Source organism: Homo sapiens, chromosome 22 (genome assembly GCF_000001405.40).
Source record: "Homo sapiens chromosome 22, GRCh38.p14 Primary Assembly".
Lineage (NCBI taxonomy): Eukaryota > Metazoa > Chordata > Mammalia > Primates > Hominidae > Homo > Homo sapiens.
In genome coordinates this window covers 42,112,267-42,139,182 of record NC_000022.11, presented here as the reverse complement: position 1 = coordinate 42,139,182, position 26,916 = coordinate 42,112,267, and the positions used below count along the sequence as shown (strand labels likewise).

Here is a 26,916-nt window from a genome sequence, read left to right as displayed (position 1 = left end):
GAGAGCTGATTGGTGCATTTACAATCCCTGAGCTAGACACAGAGTACTGATTGGTATATTTACAAACCTTGAGCTAGACACAGAGTGCTGAATGGTGTATTTACAATCCCTTAGCTAGACATAAAGGTTGTCCCAGTCCCCACTAGATTAGCTAGATAGAGTAGACAGAGAGCACTGATTGGTGCGTTTACAAACCTTGAGTTAGACACAGGGTGCTGACTGGTGTGTTTACAAACCTTGAGCTAGACACAGAGTGCTGATTGGTGTATTTACAATCTTTTAGCTAGAAATAAAGGTTCCCCAAGTCCCCACCAGATTAGCTAGATAGAGTGCTAATTGGTGCATGCACGAACCCGGAGCTAGACACAGAGTGCTGATTGGTGCATATACAATCCTCTGGCTAGACATAAAAGTTCTCCAAGTCCCCACCTGACTCAGGAGCCCAGCCAGCTTCGCCTAGTGGATCCTATGCCAGGGCCACAGGCAGAGCTGCCTGCTAGTCCCACACCGGGCACCTGTACTCCTCAGCCCTTGGGCAGTGGACGGGACCAGGTGCCGTGGAGCAGTGGGAGGCACCCATCCGGGAGGCTCGGGCCTCGCAGGGAGCCCACCGTAGGGAGGCTTGGGCATGGCAGGCTGCAAGTCCTGAGCCCTGCCCCGCGGGGAGGTGACTGAGGCCTGGCGACAATTCAAGTGTGGTGAGCGCCGGCAGGCCAGCAGTACTGGGGGACCCGGTGCCCCCTCTGCAGCTGCTGGCCCAGGTGCTAAGCCCCTCACTGCCTGGGGCCAGAGGCACCAGCCGGCCGCTCCGAGTGCAGGGCCCGCTGAGCCCCTGCCCACCCAGAACTGGTGCTGGCCCGCGAGCAACCCAGGTTCCCGCACACGCCTCTCCCTCCATACCTCCCCGCAAGCAGACGGAGCCGGCTCCAGCCTCCACCAGTCCAGAGAGGGGCTCCCACAGTGCAGCGCTGGGCTGAAGGGCTCCTCAAGTGTGGTCAGAGCAGAAGCTGAGGCCGAGGAGGCGCTGAGAGCGAGCGAGGACCACCAGCACGTTGACACCTCTCAACCTCACCACAGGACTGGCCACCTCTCTGGGCCCTCAGGGATGCTGCTGTCTGGACCCCTGACCAGTGACGAGTTCGCACTCAGGGCCAGGCTGGCGCTGGAGGAGGACACTTGTTTGGCTCCAACCCTAGGTACCATCCTCCCAGTAGGGATCAGGCAGGGCCCACAGGCCTGCCCTAGGGACAGGAGTCAACCTTGGACCCATAAGGCACTGGGGCGGGCAGAGAAGGAGGAGGTGGCATGGGCAGCTGAGAGCCAGAGACCCTGACCCTAGTCCTTGCTCTGCCATTACCCCGTGTGACCCCGGGCCCACCCTTCCCCACCCTTCCCCACCCTTCCCCACCCCGGGCTTCTGTTTCCCTTCTGCCAACGAGAAGGCTGCTTCACCTGCCCCGAGTCCTGTCTTCCTGCTCTGCCTTCTGGGGCTGTGGCCCTTGCTGGCCTGGAGCCCCAACCAAGGGCAGGGACTGCTGTCCTCCACGTCTGTCCTCACCGACATAATGGGCTGGGCTGGGCACACAGGCAGTGCCCAAGAGTTTCTAATGAGCATATGATTACCTGAGTCCTGGGCAGACCTTCTTAGGGAACAGCCTGGGACAGAGAACCACAGACACTCTGAGGAGCCACCTGAGGCCTCTTTTGCCAGAGGACCCTACAGCCTCCCTGGCAGCAGTTCCGCCAGCATTTCTGTAAATGCCCTCATGCCAGGGTGCGGCCCGGCTGTCAGCACGAGAGGGACGTTGGTCTGTCCCCTGGCACCGAGTCAGTCAGAAGGGTGGCCAGGGCCCCCTTGGGCCCCTCCAGAGACAATCCACTGTGGTCACACGGCTCGGTGGCAGGAAGTGCTGTTCCTGCAGCTGTGGGGACAGGGAGTGTGGATGAAGCCAGGCTGGGTTTGTCTGAAGACGGAGGCCCCGAAAGGTGGCAGCCTGGCCTATAGCAGCAGCAACTCTTGGATTTATTGGAAAGATTTTCTTCACGGTTCTGAGTCTTGGGGGTGTTAGAGGCTCAGAACCAGTCCAGCCAGAGCTCTGTCATGGGCACGTAGACCCGGTCCCAGGGCCTTTGCTCTTTGCTGTCCTCAGAGGCCTCTGCAAAGTAGAAACAGGCAGCCTTGTGAGTCCCCTCCTGGGAGCAACCAACCCTCCCTCTGAGATGCCCCGGGGCCAGGTCAGCTGTGGTGAAAGGTAGGGATGCAGCCAGCTCAGGGGAGTGGCCCAGAGTTCCTGCCCACCCAAGGAGGCTCCCAGGAAGGTCAAGGCACCTGACTCCTGGGCTGCTTCCCTCCCCTCCCCTCCCCAGGTCAGGAAGGTGGGAAAGGGCTGGGGTGTCTGTGACCCTGGCAGTCACTGAGAAGCAGGGTGGAAGCAGCCCCCTGCAGCACGCTGGGTCAGTGGTCTTACCAGATGGATACGCAGCAACTTCCTTTTGAACCTTTTTATTTTCCTGGCAGGAAGAAGAGGGATCCAGCAGTGAGATCAGGCAGGTTCTGTGTTGCACAGACAGGGAAACAGGCTCTGTCCACACAAAGTCGGTGGGGCCAGGATGAGGCCCAGTCTGTTCACACATGGCTGCTGCCTCTCAGCTCTGCACAGACGTCCTCGCTCCCCTGGGATGGCAGCTTGGCCTGCTGGTCTTGGGGTTGAGCCAGCCTCCAGCACTGCCTCCCTGCCCTGCTGCCTCCCACTCTGCAGTGCTCCATGGCTGCTCAGTTGGACCCACGCTGGAGACGTTCAGTCGAAGCCCCGGGCTGTCCTTACCTCCCAGTCTGGGGTACCTGCCACCTCCTGCTCAGCAGGAATGGGGCTAGGTGCTTCCTCCCCTGGGGACTTCACCTGCTCTCCCTCCTGGGATAAGACGGCAGCCTCCTCCTTGGGGGCAGCAGCATTCAGTCCTCCAGGTCTCCTGGGGGTCGTGACCTGCAGGAGGAATAAGAGGGCAGACTGGGCAGAAAGGCCTTCAGAGCACCTCATCCTCCTGTTCTCACACTGGGGTGTCACAGTCCTGGGAAGTTCTTCCTTTTCAGTTGAGCTGTGGTAACCTTGTGAGTTTCCTGGAGGGGGCCTGCCACTACCCTTGGGACTCCCTGCCGTGTGTCTGGGTCTAACTGAGCTCTGAAAGGAGAGAGCCCCAGCCCTGGGCCTTCCAGGGGAAGCCTTACCTCAGAGGTTGGCTTCTTCCTACTCTTGACTTTGCGTCTCTGCAGAGGGAGGTGGGAGGGGTGACACAACCCTGACACCCACACTATGAGTGATGAGTAGTCCTGCCCCGACTGGCCCATCCTTTCCAGGTGCAGTCCCCCTTACTGTGTCTGCCAAGGGTGCCAGCACAGCCGCCCCACTCCAGGGGAAGAGGAGTGCCAGCCCTTACCCACCTGAGTGGGCACAGTGTAGCATTTATTCATTAGCCCCCACACTGGCCTGACCATCTCCCCTGTGGGCTGCATGACAAGGAGAGAGAACAGGCTGAGGTGAGAGCTACTGTCAACACCTAAACCTAAAAAATCTATAATTGGGCTGGGCAGGGTGGCTCACGCCTGTAATCCCAGCACTTTGGGAGGCCGAGATGGGTGGATCACCTGAGGTCAGATGTTCGAGACCAGCCTGGCCAACATGGTGAAACCCCGTCTCTACTAAAAATACAAAAAATTAGCTGGGCGTGGTGGTGGGTGCCTGTAATCCCAGCTACTCAGGAGGCTGAGGCAGGAGAATTGCTTGAACCTGGGAGGCAGAGGTTGCAGTGAGCCGAGATCACACCATTGCACTCCAGTCTGGGTGATAAGTATGAAACGCCATCTCCAAAACAAAAGAAAAGCCTAATTCCCCAAGAACTGTCAGTCTTTCACCTGTCTGCTAGCTCCCAGGGAGACCCCACTTGCCAGGGCTGTCTACATTTGTCCTGAGATCTCTTCTGGTGAGAACAGCACTTTCCTCAGGAAAGTTTGTTGAAAGTCATCAGATCCATGATTGAAAATCGAAGCTGCCTGTGGTGATGGATAACAGCTGGGGTTAAAAAGCAGCAGCTGGGGCATGAGCGGTCCACAGTGAGTTTTTGTTGTTTTTGTTTTTTTGGGTGGGGGATGGGGTCTTGCTAGGTCTCAAACTCCTGGCCTCAAGTCATCCTCCCATTACAGCCTTCTGAGTCACTGACACTACAGGTGTGAGCCACCATGTCCAGCTTGTAGTGGTTTTGAACAGCTCTTGCCCCTTCTTGGGAATCTAGGTGCCCTGCACGTGGGTAAGGCTGTCTGCAGCTGTGCCCATATTCAGGAAGGCCGGCAAGGCCCTGAGCCCTCACACGTGACTGACCTGAGGTGCTGTGCAGACAGCAGGTGACGGCTAAGGGAAAGTTGAGCACTGCCTAGCCGAGCACTGAAGCCACGCCCGGCACACAGAGAGAGACCCACTCGGCAAAGACTTCGCTTCCAGGCACCTAAGGAACTCTCTGACCAGTCATTAGCTGACCACTGCCGTAACTGAAGAGCGGCTTCAGTGGCCACAGCTCGCAGGGAATGGAGACATTAATGCTTAGTCAGAATTAGTTCAGAAAAGTCACCCAGCAAAGAAACAGCTCCAACAGGCAACAACAACAACACATCCTTGGCAGGGAAGAGAATCTGACTTCCGGAGTTGCCACATTATCGCCCGTGAAATGTCCAGGTTTTAACAAATTATGAGACATGGAAAGGAAACCGAAAGGACGACCCAGACACGGGAAAAGTCACCAATGGGACCAGCCCGATGCTGCAATTGCTAGACAAAGACGTTCAGTCAGCTCATTTAAATATGTTCAAAGACCTAAAACATGCTGCATCTGAGGCTGCACCGGCTGGAACCTGCTGATCTCGGAAGCTAAGCATGGTCAGGCCTGGCTAGTACTTCAAAGGGAGAAACCACGTGTAGGCCTGGTGCAGTGGCTCACACCTATAATCCTAGCACTCTGGGAAGCTGAGGCCCGTGGATTGCTTGAGCCCAGGAGTTTGAGAGCAGCTTGGGAAATGTGGTGAGACCCCCATCTCTACAAAAAAATTTAAAAAATTAGCTGGCTGCCTATGGTCCCAGCCTCTCAGGATGCTGAGGTAGGAGGATCACTTCAGCCCAGGAAGTTGAGGCTGCAGTGAGCCATGACTGCATCACTGCACTCCAGCTTGGGCGACAGAGAGACCCTCTCCCAAGAAAAAGAAAAGAACCATGTCAAAAGAACTAACGAAAGTGTGGGAACAATGTCTCACCAATTAGAGAATATCAATAATGGGATGAACCTTATAAAAAGGGGCTGGGCATGGTGGCTCATGCCTATAATCCCAGCACTTTGGGAGGCTGAGGCGGGCATATCATGAGGTCAAGAGATTGAGACCAGCCTGGCCAACATGGTGAAACCCCGTCTCTACTTAAAATACAAAAATTAGCCGGGCGTGGTGGCACGTGCCTGTAATCCCAGCTACTCGGGAGGCTGAGGCAGGAGAATCGCTTGAACCCGAGAGGCAGAGATTGCAGTGAGCCGAGATTGCACCACTGCACTACAGCCTGGGTGACAGAGCGATACTCCAAAAAACAAAACAAAACAAAAAACAAAAAAAAAGTTTAAAAAGGAACCAAATAAAAATTCTGGAGTTGTAGGGTAAAATAAATGAAAATTCATCCCAGGGGCCCAAGAGCAGATTGGAACAATTGGAAGAAAGAGCCTGTGACTATGGAGAGAGGCCACCTGAGGTAGTACCCTCTGAGGAACAGGAACAAGCATGAAGAGCAATGCACAGAGATCCAGAGACCTGGAGACGCCGTCAAGCTTTCCGACATACACGCAATGGGAGTCCCAGGAAAGAAGACAGGGAGAAAGGAGTAAAGGAATAGTTGAAGAATTAATGGCTGAAAAACCTCCCAAATCTGATGAAAAATATTAATCTGTACATCCAAAAAGCTCATCAAACTCCAAGTAGGGTAAACTCAAAGAGATCTTCAGCCATACGCATCATCATAATCACTGTCAAAAGACAGATTTTTCTTTTTTTAGAATTTTAAATGTACCTTTTAATTTGCTCCTGGGGCAAAGAGCCAGGACTGGTACTAGAGCAGTGTCTGGGATGAGAAGAATTTAATAAAATGGGATTAGGTCCAATGGTTGGGTTAGGGGAGGCAACCTGCTCGGGAGGATCAGCCTCAACCTATCCATGCAGCAGGGCCTCCACCTGTCCCTCTCCGTAGTCCCACACCTGGAACCCAGAGCCATCTGCCTCTTCCCAGATCATGGCCGACAGCACTCCACCAGACTGCGGCTGGAGCAGGCACAGGATTCACTTATTGAGGGCTGTGGCCTGGCACAGATCATAGCCTATACCCAGGGACAGTTGTGTCACTTCTGCCACCACCACATCCGCCTTCTGCAGCCACATCAAGTACCACTCATGGATGAGCCCGTCACCCCCAGCGGACTTATCAACCCCGCGTCCAGCTCCACAGCCGCCACGTGCTCGGTGAGCACTGGCTCCAAGCATGGCAGCTGCCATACAATCCACCTGTAGAGGGCCCGGTCCTCCTGTCCTCAGTGGATGATCCCGTAGAAGTCCAGAGCTCGGCAGCTGCCCTCCCACAAAAGACAGGATTTTGAAAGCAGCAAGAGAGAAGAGACGTATCAGGTAGTCACAGTGGCTCAGGCCTGTAATCCCAGCACTTTGGGAGGCCCAGGTGGGAGGATCGCTTCACCCCAGGAATTCAAGACCAGCCTGGACAACTTGGAAGAACCCGGTCTCTACAAAAAATACAAAATTAGCTGGGATTGGGTGCGGTGGCTCATGCCTATAATCCCAGCACTTTGGGAGCCTGAGGTGGGTGGATCACCTGAAGTCAGGAGTTCAAGACTAGCCTGGCCAACATGGTGAAACCCTATCTCTACTGAAAATACAAAAAGCTAGACGTGGTGGCACACACCTGTAATCCCAGCTACTTAGGAGGCTGAGGCAGGAGAATTGCTTGAAGCCTAGAGGTGAAGGTTGTAGTGAGCCGAGATTGCATCATTGCACAATGGAGGGGAGCCACCAGCCTGGGCAACAAGAGGAAATCTCCGTCTCCAAAAAAAAAAAAAAAAAAAAAAGAATTAGGCTGGGTGGTGCCTGTAGTCCCAGCTACTTGGGAGGCAGGGGGTCCACTTGATGTCGAGACTGCAGTGAGCCATGATCCTGCCACTGCACTCCGGCCTGGGCAACAGAGTGAGACCCTGTCTAAAGAAAAAAAAAATAAAGCAACATATCCTGAACAAAGGATCCTCCATAACGTTCCCACCAGATTTCTAATCAGAAACATGGAGGCCAGAAAGCAGTGGAGGAGGACGACCCTCAGGCAGCCCGGGAGGATGTTGTCACAGGCTGGGGCAAGGGCCTTCCGGCTACCAACTGGGAGCTCTGGGAACAGCCCTGTTGCAAACAAGAAGCCATAGCCCGGCCAGAGCCCAGGAATGTGGGCTGGGCTGGGAGCAGCCTCTGGACAGGAGTGGTCCCATCCAGGAAACCTCCGGCATGGCTGGGAAGTGGGGTACTTGGTGCCGGGTCTGTATGTGTGTGTGACTGGTGTGTGTGAGAGAGAATGTGTGCCCTAAGTGTCAGTGTGAGTCTGTGTATGTGTGAATATTGTCTTTGTGTGGGTGATTTTCTGCGTGTGTAATCGTGTCCCTGCAAGTGTGAACAAGTGGACAAGTGTCTGGGAGTGGACAAGAGATCTGTGCACCATCAGGTGTGTGCATAGCGTCTGTGCATGTCAAGAGTGCAAGGTGAAGTGAAGGGACCAGGCCCATGATGCCACTCATCATCAGGAGCTCTAAGGCCCCAGGTAAGTGCCAGTGACAGATAAGGGTGCTGAAGGTCACTCTGGAGTGGGCAGGTGGGGGTAGGGAAAGGGCAAGGCCATGTTCTGGAGGAGGGGTTGTGACTACATTAGGGTGTATGAGCCTAGCTGGGAGGTGGATGGCCGGGTCCACTGAAACCCTGGTTATCCCAGAAGGCTTTGCAGGCTTCAGGAGCTTGGAGTGGGGAGAGGGGGTGACTTCTCCGACCAGGCCCCTCCACCGGCCTACCCTGGGTAAGGGCCTGGAGCAGGAAGCAGGGGCAAGAACCTCTGGAGCAGCCCATACCCGCCCTGGCCTGACTCTGCCACTGGCAGCACAGTCAACACAGCAGGTTCACTCACAGCAGAGGGCAAAGGCCATCATCAGCTCCCTTTATAAGGGAAGGGTCACGCGCTCGGTGTGCTGAGAGTGTCCTGCCTGGTCCTCTGTGCCTGGTGGGGTGGGGGTGCCAGGTGTGTCCAGAGGAGCCCATTTGGTAGTGAGGCAGGTATGGGGCTAGAAGCACTGGTGCCCCTGGCCGTGATAGTGGCCATCTTCCTGCTCCTGGTGGACCTGATGCACCGGCGCCAACGCTGGGCTGCACGCTACCCACCAGGCCCCCTGCCACTGCCCGGGCTGGGCAACCTGCTGCATGTGGACTTCCAGAACACACCATACTGCTTCGACCAGGTGAGGGAGGAGGTCCTGGAGGGCGGCAGAGGTGCTGAGGCTCCCCTACCAGAAGCAAACATGGATGGTGGGTGAAACCACAGGCTGGACCAGAAGCCAGGCTGAGAAGGGGAAGCAGGTTTGGGGGACGTCCTGGAGAAGGGCATTTATACATGGCATGAAGGACTGGATTTTCCAAAGGCCAAGGAAGAGTAGGGCAAGGGCCTGGAGGTGGAGCTGGACTTGGCAGTGGGCATGCAAGCCCATTGGGCAACATATGTTATGGAGTACAAAGTCCCTTCTGCTGACACCAGAAGGAAAGGCCTTGGGAATGGAAGATGAGTTAGTCCTGAGTGCCGTTTAAATCACGAAATCGAGGATGAAGGGGGTGCAGTGACCCGGTTCAAACCTTTTGCACTGTGGGTCCTCGGGCCTCACTGCTCACCGGCATGGACCATCATCTGGGAATGGGATGCTAACTGGGGCCTCTCGGCAATTTTGGTGACTCTTGCAAGGTCATACCTGGGTGACGCATCCAAACTGAGTTCCTCCATCACAGAAGGTGTGACCCCCACCCCCGCCCCACGATCAGGAGGCTGGGTCTCCTCCTTCCACCTGCTCACTCCTGGTAGCCCCGGGGGTCGTCCAAGGTTCAAATAGGACTAGGACCTGTAGTCTGGGGTGATCCTGGCTTGACAAGAGGCCCTGACCCTCCCTCTGCAGTTGCGGCGCCGCTTCGGGGACGTGTTCAGCCTGCAGCTGGCCTGGACGCCGGTGGTCGTGCTCAATGGGCTGGCGGCCGTGCGCGAGGCGCTGGTGACCCACGGCGAGGACACCGCCGACCGCCCGCCTGTGCCCATCACCCAGATCCTGGGTTTCGGGCCGCGTTCCCAAGGCAAGCAGCGGTGGGGACAGAGACAGATTTCCGTGGGACCCGGGTGGGTGATGACCGTAGTCCGAGCTGGGCAGAGAGGGCGCGGGGTCGTGGACATGAAACAGGCCAGCGAGTGGGGACAGCGGGCCAAGAAACCACCTGCACTAGGGAGGTGTGAGCATGGGGACGAGGGCGGGGCTTGTGACGAGTGGGCGGGGCCACTGCCGAGACCTGGCAGGAGCCCAATGGGTGAGGCTGGCGCATTTCCCAGCTGGAATCCGGTGTCGAAGTGGGGGGCGGGGACCGCACCTGTGCTGTAAGCTCAGTGTGGGTGGCGCGGGGCCCGCGGGGTCTTCCCTGAGTGCAAAGGCGGTCAGGGTGGGCAGAGACGAGGTGGGGCAAAGCCCTGCCCCAGCCAAGGGAGCAAGGTGGATGCACAAAGAGTGGGCCCTGTGACCAGCTGGACAGAGCCAGGGACTGCGGGAGACCAGGGGGAGCATAGGGTTGGAGTGGGTGGTGGATGGTGGGGCTAATGCCTTCATGGCCACGCGCACGTGCCCGTCCCACCCCCAGGGGTGTTCCTGGCGCGCTATGGGCCCGCGTGGCGCGAGCAGAGGCGCTTCTCCGTGTCCACCTTGCGCAACTTGGGCCTGGGCAAGAAGTCGCTGGAGCAGTGGGTGACCGAGGAGGCCGCCTGCCTTTGTGCCGCCTTCGCCAACCACTCCGGTGGGTGATGGGCAGAAGGGCACAAAGCGGGAACTGGGAAGGCGGGGGACGGGGAAGGCGACCCCTTACCCGCATCTCCCACCCCCAGGACGCCCCTTTCGCCCCAACGGTCTCTTGGACAAAGCCGTGAGCAACGTGATCGCCTCCCTCACCTGCGGGCGCCGCTTCGAGTACGACGACCCTCGCTTCCTCAGGCTGCTGGACCTAGCTCAGGAGGGACTGAAGGAGGAGTCGGGCTTTCTGCGCGAGGTGCGGAGCGAGAGACCGAGGAGTCTCTGCAGGGCGAGCTCCCGAGAGGTGCCGGGGCTGGACTGGGGCCTCGGAAGAGCAGGATTTGCATAGATGGGTTTGGGAAAGGACATTCCAGGAGACCCCACTGTAAGAAGGGCCTGGAGGAGGAGGGGACATCTCAGACATGGTCGTGGGAGAGGTGTGCCCGGGTCAGGGGGCACCAGGAGAGGCCAAGGACTCTGTACCTCCTATCCACGTCAGAGATTTCGATTTTAGGTTTCTCCTCTGGGCAAGGAGAGAGGGTGGAGGCTGGCACTTGGGGAGGGACTTGGTGAGGTCAGTGGTAAGGACAGGCAGGCCCTGGGTCTACCTGGAGATGGCTGGGGCCTGAGACTTGTCCAGGTGAACGCAGAGCACAGGAGGGATTGAGACCCCGTTCTGTCTGGTGTAGGTGCTGAATGCTGTCCCCGTCCTCCTGCATATCCCAGCGCTGGCTGGCAAGGTCCTACGCTTCCAAAAGGCTTTCCTGACCCAGCTGGATGAGCTGCTAACTGAGCACAGGATGACCTGGGACCCAGCCCAGCCCCCCCGAGACCTGACTGAGGCCTTCCTGGCAGAGATGGAGAAGGTGAGAGTGGCTGCCACGGTGGGGGGCAAGGGTGGTGGGTTGAGCGTCCCAGGAGGAATGAGGGGAGGCTGGGCAAAAGGTTGGACCAGTGCATCACCCGGCGAGCCGCATCTGGGCTGACAGGTGCAGAATTGGAGGTCATTTGGGGGCTACCCCGTTCTGTCCCGAGTATGCTCTCGGCCCTGCTCAGGCCAAGGGGAACCCTGAGAGCAGCTTCAATGATGAGAACCTGCGCATAGTGGTGGCTGACCTGTTCTCTGCCGGGATGGTGACCACCTCGACCACGCTGGCCTGGGGCCTCCTGCTCATGATCCTACATCCGGATGTGCAGCGTGAGCCCATCTGGGAAACAGTGCAGGGGCCGAGGGAGGAAGGGTACAGGCGGGGGCCCATGAACTTTGCTGGGACACCCGGGGCTCCAAGCACAGGCTTGACCAGGATCCTGTAAGCCTGACCTCCTCCAACATAGGAGGCAAGAAGGAGTGTCAGGGCCGGACCCCCTGGGTGCTGACCCATTGTGGGGACGCATGTCTGTCCAGGCCGTGTCCAACAGGAGATCGACGACGTGATAGGGCAGGTGCGGCGACCAGAGATGGGTGACCAGGCTCACATGCCCTACACCACTGCCGTGATTCATGAGGTGCAGCGCTTTGGGGACATCGTCCCCCTGGGTGTGACCCATATGACATCCCGTGACATCGAAGTACAGGGCTTCCGCATCCCTAAGGTAGGCCTGGCGCCCTCCTCACCCCAGCTCAGCACCAGCACCTGGTGATAGCCCCAGCATGGCTACTGCCAGGTGGGCCCACTCTAGGAACCCTGGCCACCTAGTCCTCAATGCCACCACACTGACTGTCCCCACTTGGGTGGGGGGTCCAGAGTATAGGCAGGGCTGGCCTGTCCATCCAGAGCCCCCGTCTAGTGGGGAGACAAACCAGGACCTGCCAGAATGTTGGAGGACCCAACGCCTGCAGGGAGAGGGGGCAGTGTGGGTGCCTCTGAGAGGTGTGACTGCGCCCTGCTGTGGGGTCGGAGAGGGTACTGTGGAGCTTCTCGGGCGCAGGACTAGTTGACAGAGTCCAGCTGTGTGCCAGGCAGTGTGTGTCCCCCGTGTGTTTGGTGGCAGGGGTCCCAGCATCCTAGAGTCCAGTCCCCACTCTCACCCTGCATCTCCTGCCCAGGGAACGACACTCATCACCAACCTGTCATCGGTGCTGAAGGATGAGGCCGTCTGGGAGAAGCCCTTCCGCTTCCACCCCGAACACTTCCTGGATGCCCAGGGCCACTTTGTGAAGCCGGAGGCCTTCCTGCCTTTCTCAGCAGGTGCCTGTGGGGAGCCCGGCTCCCTGTCCCCTTCCGTGGAGTCTTGCAGGGGTATCACCCAGGAGCCAGGCTCACTGACGCCCCTCCCCTCCCCACAGGCCGCCGTGCATGCCTCGGGGAGCCCCTGGCCCGCATGGAGCTCTTCCTCTTCTTCACCTCCCTGCTGCAGCACTTCAGCTTCTCGGTGCCCACTGGACAGCCCCGGCCCAGCCACCATGGTGTCTTTGCTTTCCTGGTGAGCCCATCCCCCTATGAGCTTTGTGCTGTGCCCCGCTAGAATGGGGTACCTAGTCCCCAGCCTGCTCCCTAGCCAGAGGCTCTAATGTACAATAAAGCAATGTGGTAGTTCCAACTCGGGTCCCCTGCTCACGCCCTCGTTGGGATCATCCTCCTCAGGGCAACCCCACCCCTGCCTCATTCCTGCTTACCCCACCGCCTGGCCGCATTTGAGACAGGGGTACGTTGAGGCTGAGCAGATGTCAGTTACCCTTGCCCATAATCCCATGTCCCCCACTGACCCAACTCTGACTGCCCAGATTGGTGACAAGGACTACATTGTCCTGGCATGTGGGGAAGGGGCCAGAATGGGCTGACTAGAGGTGTCAGTCAGCCCTGGATGTGGTGGAGAGGGCAGGACTCAGCCTGGAGGCCCATATTTCAGGCCTAACTCAGCCCACCCCACATCAGGGACAGCAGTCCTGCCAGCACCATCACAACAGTCACCTCCCTTCATATATGACACCCCAAAACGGAAGACAAATCATGGCGTCAGGGAGCTATATGCCAGGGCTACCTACCTCCCAGGGCTCAGTCGGCAGGTGCCAGAACGTTCCCTGGGAAGGCCCCATGGAAGCCCAGGACTGAGCCACCACCCTCAGCCTCGTCACCTCACCACAGGACTGGCTACCTCTCTGGGCCCTCAGGGATGCTGCTGTACAGACCCCTGACCAGTGACGAGTTCGCACTCAGGGCCAGGCTGGCGCTGGAGGAGGACACTTGTTTGGCTCCAACCCTAGGTACCATCCTCCCAGTAGGGATCAGGCAGGGCCCACAGGCCTGCCCTAGGGACAGGAGTCAACCTTGGACCCATAAGGCACTGGGGCGGGCAGAGAAGGAGGAGGTGGCATGGGCAGCTGAGAGCCAGAGACCCTGACCCTAGTCCTTGCTCTGCCATTACCCCGTGTGACCCCGGGCCCACCCTTCCCCACCCTTCCCCACCCTTCCCCACCCCGGGCTTCTGTTTCCCTTCTGCCAACGAGAAGGCTGCTTCACCTGCCCCGAGTCCTGTCTTCCTGCTCTGCCTTCTGGGGCTGTGGCCCTTGCTGGCCTGGAGCCCCAACCAAGGGCAGGGACTGCTGTCCTCCACGTCTGTCCTCACCGACATAATGGGCTGGGCTGGGCACACAGGCAGTGCCCAAGAGTTTCTAATGAGCATATGATTACCTGAGTCCTGGGCAGACCTTCTTAGGGAACAGCCTGGGACAGAGAACCACAGACACTCTGAGGAGCCACCTGAGGCCTCTTTTGCCAGAGGACCCTACAGCCTCCCTGGCAGCAGTTCCGCCAGCATTTCTGTAAATGCCCTCATGCCAGGGTGCGGCCCGGCTGTCAGCACGAGAGGGACGTTGGTCTGTCCCCTGGCACCGAGTCAGTCAGAAGGGTGGCCAGGGCCCCCTTGGGCCCCTCCAGAGACAATCCACTGTGGTCACACGGCTCGGTGGCAGGAAGTGCTGTTCCTGCAGCTGTGGGGACAGGGAGTGTGGATGAAGCCAGGCTGGGTTTGTCTGAAGACGGAGGCCCCGAAAGGTGGCAGCCTGGCCTATAGCAGCAGCAACTCTTGGATTTATTGGAAAGATTTTCTTCACGGTTCTGAGTCTTGGGGGTGTTAGAGGCTCAGAACCAGTCCAGCCAGAGCTCTGTCATGGGCACGTAGACCCGGTCCCAGGGCCTTTGCTCTTTGCTGTCCTCAGAGGCCTCTGCAAAGTAGAAACAGGCAGCCTTGTGAGTCCCCTCCTGGGAGCAACCAACCCTCCCTCTGAGATGCCCCGGGGCCAGGTCAGCTGTGGTGAAAGGTAGGGATGCAGCCAGCTCAGGGGAGTGGCCCAGAGTTCCTGCCCACCCAAGGAGGCTCCCAGGAAGGTCAAGGCACCTGACTCCTGGGCTGCTTCCCTCCCCTCCCCTCCCCAGGTCAGGAAGGTGGGAAAGGGCTGGGGTGTCTGTGACCCTGGCAGTCACTGAGAAGCAGGGTGGAAGCAGCCCCCTGCAGCACGCTGGGTCAGTGGTCTTACCAGATGGATACGCAGCAACTTCCTTTTGAACCTTTTTATTTTCCTGGCAGGAAGAAGAGGGATCCAGCAGTGAGATCAGGCAGGTTCTGTGTTGCACAGACAGGGAAACAGGCTCTGTCCACACAAAGTCGGTGGGGCCAGGATGAGGCCCAGTCTGTTCACACATGGCTGCTGCCTCTCAGCTCTGCACAGACGTCCTCGCTCCCCTGGGATGGCAGCTTGGCCTGCTGGTCTTGGGGTTGAGCCAGCCTCCAGCACTGCCTCCCTGCCCTGCTGCCTCCCACTCTGCAGTGCTCCATGGCTGCTCAGTTGGACCCACGCTGGAGACGTTCAGTCGAAGCCCCGGGCTGTCCTTACCTCCCAGTCTGGGGTACCTGCCACCTCCTGCTCAGCAGGAATGGGGCTAGGTGCTTCCTCCCCTGGGGACTTCACCTGCTCTCCCTCCTGGGATAAGACGGCAGCCTCCTCCTTGGGGGCAGCAGCATTCAGTCCTCCAGGTCTCCTGGGGGTCGTGACCTGCAGGAGGAATAAGAGGGCAGACTGGGCAGAAAGGCCTTCAGAGCACCTCATCCTCCTGTTCTCACACTGGGGTGTCACAGTCCTGGGAAGTTCTTCCTTTTCAGTTGAGCTGTGGTAACCTTGTGAGTTTCCTGGAGGGGGCCTGCCACTACCCTTGGGACTCCCTGCCGTGTGTCTGGGTCTAACTGAGCTCTGAAAGGAGAGAGCCCCAGCCCTGGGCCTTCCAGGGGAAGCCTTACCTCAGAGGTTGGCTTCTTCCTACTCTTGACTTTGCGTCTCTGCAGAGGGAGGTGGGAGGGGTGACACAACCCTGACACCCACACTATGAGTGATGAGTAGTCCTGCCCCGACTGGCCCATCCTTTCCAGGTGCAGTCCCCCTTACTGTGTCTGCCAAGGGTGCCAGCACAGCCGCCCCACTCCAGGGGAAGAGGAGTGCCAGCCCTTACCCACCTGAGTGGGCACAGTGTAGCATTTATTCATTAGCCCCCACACTGGCCTGACCATCTCCCCTGTGGGCTGCATGACAAGGAGAGAGAACAGGCTGAGGTGAGAGCTACTGTCAACACCTAAACCTAAAAAATCTATAATTGGGCTGGGCAGGGTGGCTCACGCCTGTAATCCCAGCACTTTGGGAGGCCGAGATGGGTGGATCACCTGAGGTCAGATGTTCGAGACCAGCCTGGCCAACATGGTGAAACCCCGTCTCTACTAAAAATACAAAAAATTAGCTGGGCGTGGTGGTGGGTGCCTGTAATCCCAGCTACTCAGGAGGCTGAGGCAGGAGAATTGCTTGAACCTGGGAGGCAGAGGCTGCAGTGAGCCGAGATCGCATCATTGCACTCCAGCCTGGTCAACAAGAGTGAAACTGTCTTAAAAAAAAAATCTATAATTGATATCTTTAGAAAGATAAAACTTTGCATTCATGAAATAAGAATAGGAGGGTCTAAAATAAAAATGTTCAAACACCCACCACCACTAATTCTTGACAAAAATATAGTCTGGGTGCCTTAGCTCATGCCTGTAATCCCAGCATTTTGGGAGGCTAAGGCAGGAGGATTGTTTGAGCCTAGGAATTCAACACCAGCCTGGGCCACCTAAGGAGACCCCATCTCTACAAAAAATTAAAATACTGGCTGGGTGTGGTGGCACACACCTGTAGTTCCAGCTGCTTGGGAGGCTGAGGTGGGAGGATCACTTGAGTCCAGGAACAAAGCTGCAGTGAACTGTGATCGTGCCACTGCACTCCAGCCTGGGCAACAGAGAAAGACCTTGCCTTAAAAATAAAAAATATAATAATAGGAATGCAAAATCTAATCAAAGTATAGAAGCTAAACTTGAAAAAAATATTTTCCAGAAAGAACAGAGAAGAGGTCAGGAGCTCCAACAGCTAAATTGTTGTTTAGATGTTTCTGAAACAGGCAGCAGAGACAACAGACTAGGAGGCAAGGAAAGATGTCTAATAAATACGTTTCTTTTTTGTCAAGACAAGTTCTCACAGAGGAAGAACATGAGTTTCCAGTAGAGAAGGAAACACCAAGTGTTCATGACAATGAATGAAGGGGACCCAGCCCCAATTTTGTTGTCAAGAAATTTCACAACACTGAGGACAGAGTGGAACCCAAAAACTTCCAGAGAGAAAAAAGTCTGAGCTTCAGGAATTCAATATTCATCAGACTTCTCAACACCAACCTTTGAAGCTATAAGATAATGAAGACCTTCAAAATCTGAGAGAAAATATTTCCAATCTAGAATTCTATACCTAGCCAAATGCTATGCAAGTATGAATTGAGGTCTTTTCGGATACATAAATGTCTCAAGACTACCCCTCAGGAAGCAACCGGAGGTTGTACTTCACTAAAATAAAGGAGAAATAGAAAAGAAGATAACATGGGACCCAGCACAACAGGCAGGGAGAGCCCCTGAGCATAAGGGTGAATGGGGAGCTCAGGAGGACAGCTGGGCAGCAGACCTCCAGGGTGCCCCATCCAGATGGAATCAGGGAGATGGAGGGCTCCTGAGGTATGTCTCCATGAAAATGATCATATGGAGAAATGACGTGATCTGTCTAAATGTACTGCAAAGAGATTTCTATTTTTGGCAGAAAATTTGGATGAATTAATTATATAATAGATGCACAAAAAACTAAAGAAAGAGAAGAAGAAAAACTAAAATCATGACTCAACTGGGACTACTGTCTACATTTTTTGTTTTGAGAAAGAGTCTTGCTCTGTTGCCCAGACTGGAGTGCAGTGATCACGTTTCATTGCAGCCTCCACAACCTGTGCTCAAGTAAGTGACTCTCTTACCTCAGCCTCCTTAGTAGCTGGGATCACAGGGCACCACCACACTCAGCTAATTTTTTTTTTTAAATAGACAGTGTCTCCCAATGTTGTCCAGGCTGGTCTCGAAGTCCTGGACTCAAGCGATCCTCCCATGTTGACCTCTCAAGTAGTTGGGATTACAGTCATGAGCCACTGTGCCTGACCTAGCTAATTTTTTTCTGATTTATTTATTTATTTTTTGTACAGAGTCTCACTATGTTGACCAGGCTGGCCTGGAACTTCTGAGCTCAAGTGATCCTCCTGCCTTCGCCTCCCAAAGTGCAGAGATTATAGGTGTAAACTATCACGCCTGGCCTGTTTACATAGTTTAATAATGTAAATCTTCAATACCGATCTAATAAAAATTGAAATATGCCTTTTAGAATGGCTTTCAAAGATAACAAATGCTGGAGAGGATGTAGAACAACTGGAACCTCTCGGTTATTGCTGGTGAGACAGCCGCTTTGAAAAAGTTTGAGTTTCTTACAAAATTAAACTTACACTTACACTTACCATATGACCCAAAAATTCCACTGCTTGCTCTTTACTCAAGTATAAGGAAAATCTATGTACACACAAAACTTGTACGTGAATATTTATTAATAGTCATTTTATGCCCCAAACTAGAAATAGTCCAAATGTTCTGGAACATCCATACAACGGACCACCACTCAATAAAAGGAACAAACTACGGATACACGTGACTAGATGAATCTCAAATGCTTTGTGCTAAGTAAAATAAACCAGACTGAAAAGGCTACCATACGTTTCCATTTATATGACAATCTTGCAAAGTCAAAACCACAGGAACAGGAAACTGTTCACTGATTGCCAGGGTGTGGGAGTAGGAGGAAGGGCTGACTACAGGTGACTATGGAGGATTTTTTTTTTTCTGAGACGGAGTCTCTGTCGCCCAGGCTGGAGTGTACTGGCACGATCTCGGCTCACTGCAACATCCACCTCCTGGGTTTAAGGTATTTTTAGTAGAGACGGGGTTTCACTATGTTGGCCAGGCTGGTCTCAAACTCCTGACCTCAGGTGATCCACCCGCTTCGGCCTCCCAAAGTGCTGGGATTATAGGCGTGAGCCACCGAGGCCAGCCACTTTTTTTTTTTTTTAAAGACAGAGTCTTGCTGTGTCACTCAGGCTGGAGTGCAGTGGCGTGATCCCAGCTCACTGCAGCCTTAACATCCTGCACTCAAGTGATCCTTCTACCTCAGCTTCCTGAGTAGCTGGGACCACAGGCACACCTCACCACACCCAGCTAATTTTTAATTTTTTTGTAGAGACAGGGTCTATGTTGCCCAGGCTGGTCTTGAACTCCTGGGCTCCACCAATCCTGCCTTGCCCTCCTCACAGTGCCCGGCCCTTAGATTCTCTCTTTAACCTCTAACTCCACCCCGTCTTCCTCACTTTCAGCAGAGAGCATAGGCACCATCAGATGGGCATTTCCTCAACTTGCTGCCACCAAACCCATTCACTCACCGGCTTCTCATAGGCCATTTCCTCTTCCAGGGGATGAGGGGAGGAGGCTCCCCTCCCTCTCCAAAGCTAGCCCTACTCCTGTGCCCCATTTCATCTGGTCTTCTCACCTGGGCATTTGGAGATCTCGTCTCACCTCAATATTCTCCTTTTCCTTTTTTCTGGCTCCTTCCATCAGCATCTAAACACATTGCTGATCTCTTCTATTAAAAAGAAAAAAGCCCTTCTCCCTTGAACCCATATTCCTTCTCCAGCTAGCGTCCTGACCCCTACCCTTCACACCAGTCTCCTGAGAGCGGTGTTGGCAGGGGGGTGTGTTTACTGCTTTCTACCTCTCCCGCGCTCCACAACCCACTTCAACCTGCATCTGTCTCCATAAGCCTCTGAAACCCCTCTCACTGAGGTCACCAGTACGCTCCTAGTCACCAAACCCAGATGACTCTTTCCTTTTTTTCTTTTTTTTTTTTTTTTTGAGACGGAGTCTCGCTCTGTCGCCCAGGCTGGAGTGCAGTGGCGTGATCTCGGCTCACTGCAAGCTCCGCCTCCCGGGTTCACACCATTCTCTTGCTTCAGCCTCCCGAGTAGCTGAGACTACAGGCGGCCCGCCACGAGGCCCAGCTAATTTTTTTGTATTTACTAGCAGAGGCGGGGTTTCCCCATGTTAGCCAGGATGGTCCTGATCTCCTGACCTCGTGATCCGCCTGCCTCGGTCTTCCAAAGTGCTGGGATTACAGGCATGAGCCACTGCACCCGGCCCCAGCTGACCCTTTCTTTAACGACCTCGCCTTTTCTCTTGGCTGCTTGACCTCTCATGCTCTGGTTTTCCTCCTGCCTCCCACTCCTCTCTCTCTCTATCTCTCAGTCTCTATCTCTGTCTCTCTTTCTGTCTCTGCCTCTCTCAGTCTCTATTTCTGTCTCTGCCTCTCTCAGTCTCTATTTCTGTCTCTGCCTCTCTCTGTGTATCTCTATCTGTCTCTCTCTCTGTATCTCTGTCTCTCTCTGTATCTCTAGCTCTGTCTCTATCTCTGTCTCTGTCTCTGTCTATCTCTCTGTATCTCTAACTCTGTCTCTGTATCTGTTTCTGTCTCTCTATCTCTCTTTGTCTCTCTGTCTCTCTCTGCCTAAATCTCAGTGTCAAGTGTTGCTCCATGTCCTGCTGACGACAAAGACTCTGAACTTCCACCTCAGACACTCACTTCTAGGCCTTTGCATGTGCTGTTATCTACCTAGAATGTGTTTCTCCATGGCTTTCAGGAGGGCTCCCCTGACTACCTGAGTTCACGTGGGGTGGCCCTCCTCAGTGCTCTTAGGGTACTGTACTGTCCCCTGACTGAGGGACCACTTTAGGTCCGTCCACTGTCAAACCCCCAGTAGCTGCCCCTATGCGTGGGACACAGCAAGAGCTAAGTAACCAAATGAATGATTACATGGCTGTGGTTCATCCTAGTGCTTAAAGCCATGATCAGAGTTGAAAAGTTGCTGTATCTTATTCAGATTTCTACTAGCAACATATTCAATAGTAAGCTTTGTTAGTCATCTATAACCCGGTGTAAGTGAAGTTATCAGGTCTTTTTCTGGGAGGAGGTTTAGAGGAGGAAAGGAGAGAGAATGAGTCCTAAAGGAGAGAAGAGGAGTAGAAGGGGCATGTCAAGTAGAAAAGGATGTAGAAAAGGTAGGCTTGGGGTAAAAAGATAATTTTCACCTGCTTGGGTGGTTTATTGAGGGCAGCCTTTTAGGCCTGCTTACCAAAGAGGCCAGTCTTGATGACGCTAGAAATTTGCAGATAATCCTTTTACCATATCAGTGTCAGGCAGCTTATCCACCTCCTCTTGGGCTCTATGACCAAACCCAAGAAGAGCACTGAGGCCCAGCTAAGTCTGGGAGTTCAGTGCACAGGCCCCCCCTTTCGCACAGAGAGTGGTGTCTATGTGTGACATCGTGTCTTAGGGGGGCTTTATGACAGGACAACCTCTTCAACCTTGGCCAGAACAGCTTGTCAAATGCCTCGGGGTGGCTTTAAATCCCCAGTAGTGAGAGACAGCCCCTTTGTACATATCTCATTGTTTCAATTCAGCACAAACAGTGCTGACTGAGCAGCTACAATGTGCCAAGCTCTGTGTGAAGACCCATAGAGACACAAAGATGCAAAAGTGTGTAAGACTCAGTATTTTTTTTTTGTCTTTAAGACTGAGTCTTGATCTGTTGCCCAGGCTGGAGTGCAGTGGCATGATCATGGCTCACTGCAACCTCCACCTCTCAGGTTCAAGAGATTCTCATGCCTCAGGCTACCGAGTGGCTGGGATTACAGGTGTGCATCACCATGCCCAGCTAATTTTTTTGTATTTTTAGTAAAGACAGGGTCTTGTCATGTTGGCCAGGCTGGTCTCAAACTCCTGGCGTCAAGTGATCCACCCGCCTCGGCCTCCCAAAGTATTGAGATTACAGGCGTAAGCCACTGCACCCAGCCAAGACTCAGTCTTACTGCATAACACAATAAGCATATTTTCTAAATCCAAAACAAGAACACAGCCTAACAATTGAATGTCATCTATTCATTCATTCAACCAGTGTCTGCTGAGCTTCCATTTTGGTCCAAGCATTATGCTGAGAGGATCAAAGGTAAACAGGACATACAGCCTACCCTTGAGGAGCTCAAAGACTTCAAACAGACATTTTATGGTTCAAGACAATAACTTCTACCTTCCTGCAAATTTCTGTAAATGTAACAATAATTACAAATCTATGGGTGGTTGAAACTGAGGGATGGATGCCTCAGTTTCACATACACATGAAACATTCACCAAGATAGGCCATATTCTGGACCACGAAACAAATCTCAATGGATTTTAAATTTATTTCAAGTATGTCCTTCAAACACTGTGGAATTAAAAATTACAAATCAGTAACAGATTCCCAGAAAGAGTCTGAGCTCAGACTCACCTAACCCTGCCCCAACCTGACAGTATTTCTCTACCCGCCCTGGTAGCTGATCACAAAAGCCATAAACTCTTGGGAGCTTTATGGCCCTGTCCATCACCTGAGAAATCCTAATACTTATCCTGGCCAACTTAGGGCAAGCTTATATCCCCCTTCCAGTATTGCAGCTGGTGTTCTCTTGAAAGCGCCACCTCCTGGCTGGAGGCCAACCAAGTCAGGACATTACAGCAACTCACAACAGAATAACCCTGCTCCAAGAAATGAGAAACAGCTAATTCCACTGCTTTCAACATCCTGGCTAACCAGAGCTCCTGAGTCTGTCCACGTGACAACTTCACTGCTAGCATAACCAGCATTTGAGAAAGCCAGCACAGTAAACAAAACTACAAGCAAGGACTCTCACACTCACAGTCTACTTTACTCCCCTCCCACCTCCACCAGGGCAGGTGCTGGTGTCCATGGCCAGGAGAGCTAAAGACGGATCACATCACAGGACTCTTTGCAGACATTCCTCAGCACCAGCCTGGAACCTGGTAGCCCCACTGGGTGGCTGGACCCAGAAGAGCAATAGCAATCACTACAGTCTGGCTCTCACGAAGCTCCATCCCTAGGGGAAGTGAGAATGCATCACATCAAGGGGTCACTTTGTGGGACAAAAGAATCTGAACAGTAGCCCCTGAGTTCCAGATTTTTCCCCTGAAATAGTCTACCCAAGTGAGAAGAAATCAGAAAAATTGTAATATGACAAAACAAGGTTCTATAACACCTCCAAAAGACCATACTGGCTCCCCAGCAATGAATGCAAATCAAGAAGAAATCTCTGAATTGCCAGATAAACAATTCAGATGGTTGATTATTAAACTACTCAAGGAGAGACCAGAGAAAAGTGAAAACAAAGAAATGTAAAAAACAATACAGGCTATGGATTGGCCAGGCGCAGTGGCTCACACCTGTAAACCCAGCACTTTGGAAGGCTGAGGCGGGCTGATCACTTGAGGTCAGGAGTTTCAGACCAGCCTGGCCAACACAGTGAAACCCCATCTCTACTAAAAATACAAAAATCAGCCAGGCATGGTGGTGCGTGCCTGTAATACCAGCTATTTGGGAGACTGAGGCAGGGGGATTGCGTGAACCCAGGAGCCAGAGGTTGCAGTGAGCTGAGATTGCACCACTGCACTGTGAGCAACAGAGTGCTCAGAGTCTCAAAAAGGAAAGAAAGAAAGAAAGAAAAAGACAACAAAAAAAATACAGGCTATGGATGAAAAATTCTCCAGAGAAACAGATATTATAAAGAAAAAAAAATCACAATTTCTGCAAATGGAAGACACACTTAAAGAAATAAAAAATGCACTGGAAAGTGTCAACAACAGACTAGAACAAGTATGTAGGATACAATAAAATTCCTCTTCAAAGGTTTAGCCTGTTAACTTCCTTGTTCTTTGTTCTCAAACTCAACTTTCTTGTTCTCTATGCCTCCTTGCCCCTAGTTACTGTAACTGTAAACAACCTTCCTGTCAGTTCTAATCAATAACTCACATCTGTTCCCTTGGTTACCCACTCTTCACCCCTTCCTCCCTTCGAAACCGCACGTCCCACCACTGTAACTCACATTTCCCTTCCCTTCCTTATTTGGGAAAGTATTCACAAATAGCCAGTCGGGTCAGTTTAGATTGTGCAGTCCAACCACAGCCCATGAAGGAGTGACACAGAGGGAGGGATTGCATTAGGAATAAAAACCCCTGCTTTCCTTTGTTCAGTGTGCTCTTGCAATCGTGATTGACACAAGCAGCACCCTTCTGCAGAAGTAAACTGCCTTGCTGAGAAAACTTTCGCCTCAGTGCTGGTTTCACTTTGCAGCACTGAGCATTTATCTCCAACAAATCTGGGGCTCATCCAGGATTCCCATTCTCCTCCAGGGAAGGGGTCTCTGGTCACCTCTCATAAGGAGACGCATCCCACTGCCTCGTTGCGGTGGCCTCAGGGTGAGGGATCGGAACCCACCCGGTGTGACGAATAAATCCGGACTCTCAGCAATGTGGGGAAAAAAAGGCTTGCAACACCATGGTGACCAGGTAACTTTGTGCACAGACCAAGGTAAGAAACGTCACAGGGGTGACAAAGCATTTCCTTGGTGGTCAAGATATTCTGGAGATTGAAAGTGTGTATGAATGATCACAAGCATTACTGCTTGCGGTGCTGCTTGTGTGAATGGTACTAAGCACTACTGCTGTGCGGAATGAGTGTGTCCTATCTGAGGTTCCATGGTCACCTCATATGGCTTAGGACAGATCCTGCCATGGGGTTTATATGGGCGTGCCAAAGGTAAGAGGGACCTAAATTCCCCTCCGGGAAGCGACCAGAGTGGACGAAGCAAAAGAAGGGTGCAAGGAGCCTCCAGCAGGTGGGGCTAAAGGATAGAAATCTCTAGTATGAGGAATTGAGCCTCAATAAGCCTCCAGAAAAGGAGAGGCAAGAAATCTCTAATACGAGGGATTGAGCCTCAGCAAGCCTCCAGAAAAGGATAGGCAAGAAATCTCTAATATGAGGGACTGAGCCTAACTAGGACCCAACATGGGAAACACCCCAAGCAGGACACGGAGTAAAAAGGATAAAGACAGCAATAAAGATATTCCTGCTGTTAGTCCCCTAGGTCTCATGTTAAAATATTGGAAAGATAATGAGAGAACTAAACATAAGAAAAAGCAACAAATGACAAACAATTGCTGTTTTATTTGGACTCAGGGACCCATCCTCAAACCCTCAATCTTTTGGTCAAAGTTTGGGTTGAACAAGGATGTGATGTGTCAACTTCTAATTCAATATGTAAATGATAAAAGTCCAGTTTCTCAAGAAGAATTGGCCTATGCTCTTTGTTGGAGGCAGGGACCTGTCCTCCTCTTTCCCTTAAAGACAACTAGGGAAAAACCCAATCTAGCACCTCAAACTGAAGAGTGAGAAAAGCCAGTCCCCATGCCTAAAGACTCCAGCACATGGGATCCTCTAAACCATCTTCCCCCACGCTCAGTGCCCCTAACCCTTCCCCTCAGGTAGCAGCTGCTGTCCCCGTTCCTGCTCCAGATCCTTCTCCTGCTCATGTTATTCCTCCTCCTTACAATCCTGATTCTTGGGAATCACCATCCCATTAGCCTGTTCCTTCTCAGCCTAAGTACCCCTCCCTAAAAGGACTCCAACGTGAGGTAGAACAATGTAAAAAAGATATCCAAAATTTCCCATTTCCCTCCACATCTATGGAGTCAGCCCCAACTCTCTTCCCCTTAAAAGAGGTGCCACAAGGACAGGGGGGCTATTAATTTTGTGAATGCTCCCTTAACCAGTTCAGAGGTCTGAAGTTTGAAGAAGGAACTTAAGCCGTTATTGGATGACCTTATTGGGTAACAGATCAGGTTGATCAATTCTTAGGACCTCAGTTATACACTTGGGTGGAGTTAATGTCCATCCTAGGCGTCCTCTTTTCTTTTTTTTTTTTTTTTTTTTTGAGACGGAGTCTCGCTCTGTCGCCCAGGCGGGACTGCGGACTGCAGTGGCGCAATCTCGGCTCACTGCAAGCTCCGCTTCCCGGGTTCACGCCATTCTCCTGCCTCAGCCTCCCGAGTAGCTGGGACTACAGGCGCCCGCCACTGCGCCCGGCTAATTTTTTTTGTATTTTTAGTAGAGACGGGGTTTCACCTTGTTAGCCAGGATGGTCTCGATCTCCTGACCTCATGATCCACCCGCCTCGGCCTCCCAAAGTGCTGGGATTACAGGCGTGAGCCACCGCGCCCGGCCTGCGTCCTCTTTTCAGGGGAGGAAAGAAGCATGATCTGTAGGGCTGCTATGGCAATTTGGGAACACGAACACCCTCCTGGTCAAACATTCCTACCGCAGATCAAAAGTTTCCCACCCAAGACCCCCGGTGGGACGATATTAATGCAGCTCACTGGGAAAATATGCAAGACCTAAGGGAAATGATAATAAAGGGAATTAGGGAATCAGTACCCTGAACCCAAAACCTCTCTAAAGCATTTGATATACAATAGGAAAAAGATGAGGGGGCCTATGAAATTTCTAGACAAGAATAAAGGACCAAACAAGACAATATGCAGGCCTAAATTTGGAAGATCTCCTTGGACAGGGAGTGTTAAAGCTCCATTTTGTCACTACAAGTTGGCCAGATATTTCAAAAAAGTTACAAAAATTAGAAGACTGGGAAAACCAACCTCTAAGTGAACTTCTGGGAGAAGCTCAAAAAATATATGTGAGGAAAGAAGCAAAAACAAAAGGCAAAAACTCACGTTATCCACTTTCCAGCAGGTGGCCCCACACCCACATGCTTCTAAACAAAGCTTCCAGGGGGCCAGAAACGATAGACGGTCCAGACCCTCATTTATGCTTCTAAACAAAGCTTCCAGGGGGCCAGAAACTATAAAAGGTCCAGACCCTCGTTTATGCTTCTAAACAAAGCTTCCAGGGGGCCAGAAACTATAAAAGGTCCAGACCCTCATTTATGCTTCTAAACAAAGCTTCCAGGGGGCCAGAAACTATAAAAGGTCCAGACCCTCGTTTATGCTTCTAAACAAAGCTTCCAGGGGGCCAGAAACTATAAAAGGTCCAGACCCTCGTTTATGCTTCTAAACAAAGCTTCCAGGGGGCCAGAAACTATAAAAGGTCCAGACCCTCGTTTATGCTTCTAAACAAAGCTTCCAGGGGGCCAGAAACTATAAACGGTCCGTCCAGACCGTTTGAAGGGCAGGCCACTTCAAAAGAGAATGTCCCAAACTGGAAAAGGAGAAAGAAGCCCTTCAACTCATGACTTTTGAGGAAGAACAGGGGGGTCAGGGGCTCTGTTTATCTCGAGTCCCACCAGGAGCCCTTGATAAATTTACAGGTGGGAACCAAACATGAGCTTATCACCTTTTAGTCAATTCAGGAGTGGCTCGCTCCTCCATTTGCTTCCCCCCATCCAACATTGCCTGCTCTTCAGAAGAACTTTTAGTCTCTGGGGTAAAAGGAGAAGGATTTAAAGCAAAAATCTTAG

At 53.1% G+C, this 26,916-nt stretch overlaps 1 protein-coding gene and 1 long non-coding RNA gene across 3 annotated transcripts in view, besides 9 other annotated features; one reads left to right on the top strand and one right to left on the bottom strand.

Moving 5' to 3' along the window:
- Window positions 1,772-2,359: an enhancer, noted in NCBI's record as "H3K4me1 hESC enhancer chr22:42532833-42533420 (GRCh37/hg19 assembly coordinates)". NCBI's record gives its function as "activates a minimal SCP1, AML or CMV promoter by ChIP-STARR-seq in naive H9 embryonic stem cells {active_cell/tissue: H9 hESC(naive)}" and the evidence as "EXISTENCE:reporter gene assay evidence [ECO:0000049][PMID:30033119]".
- Window positions 2,360-2,948: an enhancer, noted in NCBI's record as "H3K4me1 hESC enhancer chr22:42532244-42532832 (GRCh37/hg19 assembly coordinates)". NCBI's record gives its function as "activates a minimal SCP1, AML or CMV promoter by ChIP-STARR-seq in naive H9 embryonic stem cells {active_cell/tissue: H9 hESC(naive)}" and the evidence as "EXISTENCE:reporter gene assay evidence [ECO:0000049][PMID:30033119]".
- Window positions 6,782-8,314: a promoter, noted in NCBI's record as "-1516/+11 promoter". NCBI's record gives its function as "drives expression in liver cells" and the evidence as "EXISTENCE:reporter gene assay evidence [ECO:0000049][PMID:16850252]".
- Window positions 6,782-8,367: a biological region, named in NCBI's record as "CYP2D6 promoter". NCBI's record gives its function as "regulatory_interactions: CYP2D6 | LOC110740341".
- Window positions 7,077-7,088: a transcriptional cis regulatory region, noted in NCBI's record as "C/EBPalpha binding site". NCBI's record gives its function as "mediates induction by CCAAT/enhancer binding protein alpha" and the evidence as "EXISTENCE:site-directed mutagenesis evidence [ECO:0005528][PMID:22355045]".
- Window positions 7,901-8,367: a promoter, noted in NCBI's record as "-362/+56 promoter". NCBI's record gives the evidence for it as "EXISTENCE:reporter gene assay evidence [ECO:0000049][PMID:8810289]".
- Window positions 8,235-8,276: a protein binding site, noted in NCBI's record as "CTE". NCBI's record gives its function as "positive regulation of promoter activity" and the evidence as "EXISTENCE:protein binding evidence [ECO:0000024][PMID:8810289]".
- Window positions 8,235-8,276: a protein binding site, noted in NCBI's record as "CTE". NCBI's record gives the evidence for it as "EXISTENCE:protein binding evidence [ECO:0000024][PMID:8810289]".
- Window positions 8,272-8,295: a protein binding site, noted in NCBI's record as "K2 site". NCBI's record gives its function as "positive regulation of promoter activity" and the evidence as "EXISTENCE:protein binding evidence [ECO:0000024][PMID:25217496]".
- On the top strand, window positions 8,373-12,684 carry CYP2D6 (cytochrome P450 family 2 subfamily D member 6 (gene/pseudogene)). 2 transcript variants are annotated; one of them, NM_000106.6, is made up of 9 exons: window positions 8,373-8,571; window positions 9,274-9,445; window positions 9,998-10,150; window positions 10,239-10,399; window positions 10,833-11,009; window positions 11,200-11,341; window positions 11,549-11,736; window positions 12,191-12,332; window positions 12,431-12,684. In NM_000106.6, exons 1-9 carry the CDS (start codon window positions 8,392-8,394, stop codon window positions 12,607-12,609), a joined length of 1,494 nt encoding a protein of 497 aa, NP_000097.3. In that variant the 5' UTR covers window positions 8,373-8,391; the 3' UTR covers window positions 12,610-12,684. The 2 variants fall into 2 exon arrangements, with proteins under 2 accessions (NP_000097.3, NP_001020332.2); NM_001025161.3 differs by lacking the exon at window positions 9,998-10,150.
- Window positions 13,834-26,916, bottom strand: part of NDUFA6-DT (NDUFA6 divergent transcript) — a 34,417-nt gene continuing 21,334 nt past the window's right edge. The window contains exons 4-5 of the long non-coding RNA NR_034118.2: window positions 14,621-15,136; window positions 13,834-14,308 (exon numbers count right to left, since the gene is read on the bottom strand). This is a non-coding gene — a long non-coding RNA (NDUFA6 divergent transcript). The remainder of the gene's footprint in view (window positions 14,309-14,620; window positions 15,137-26,916) is intronic.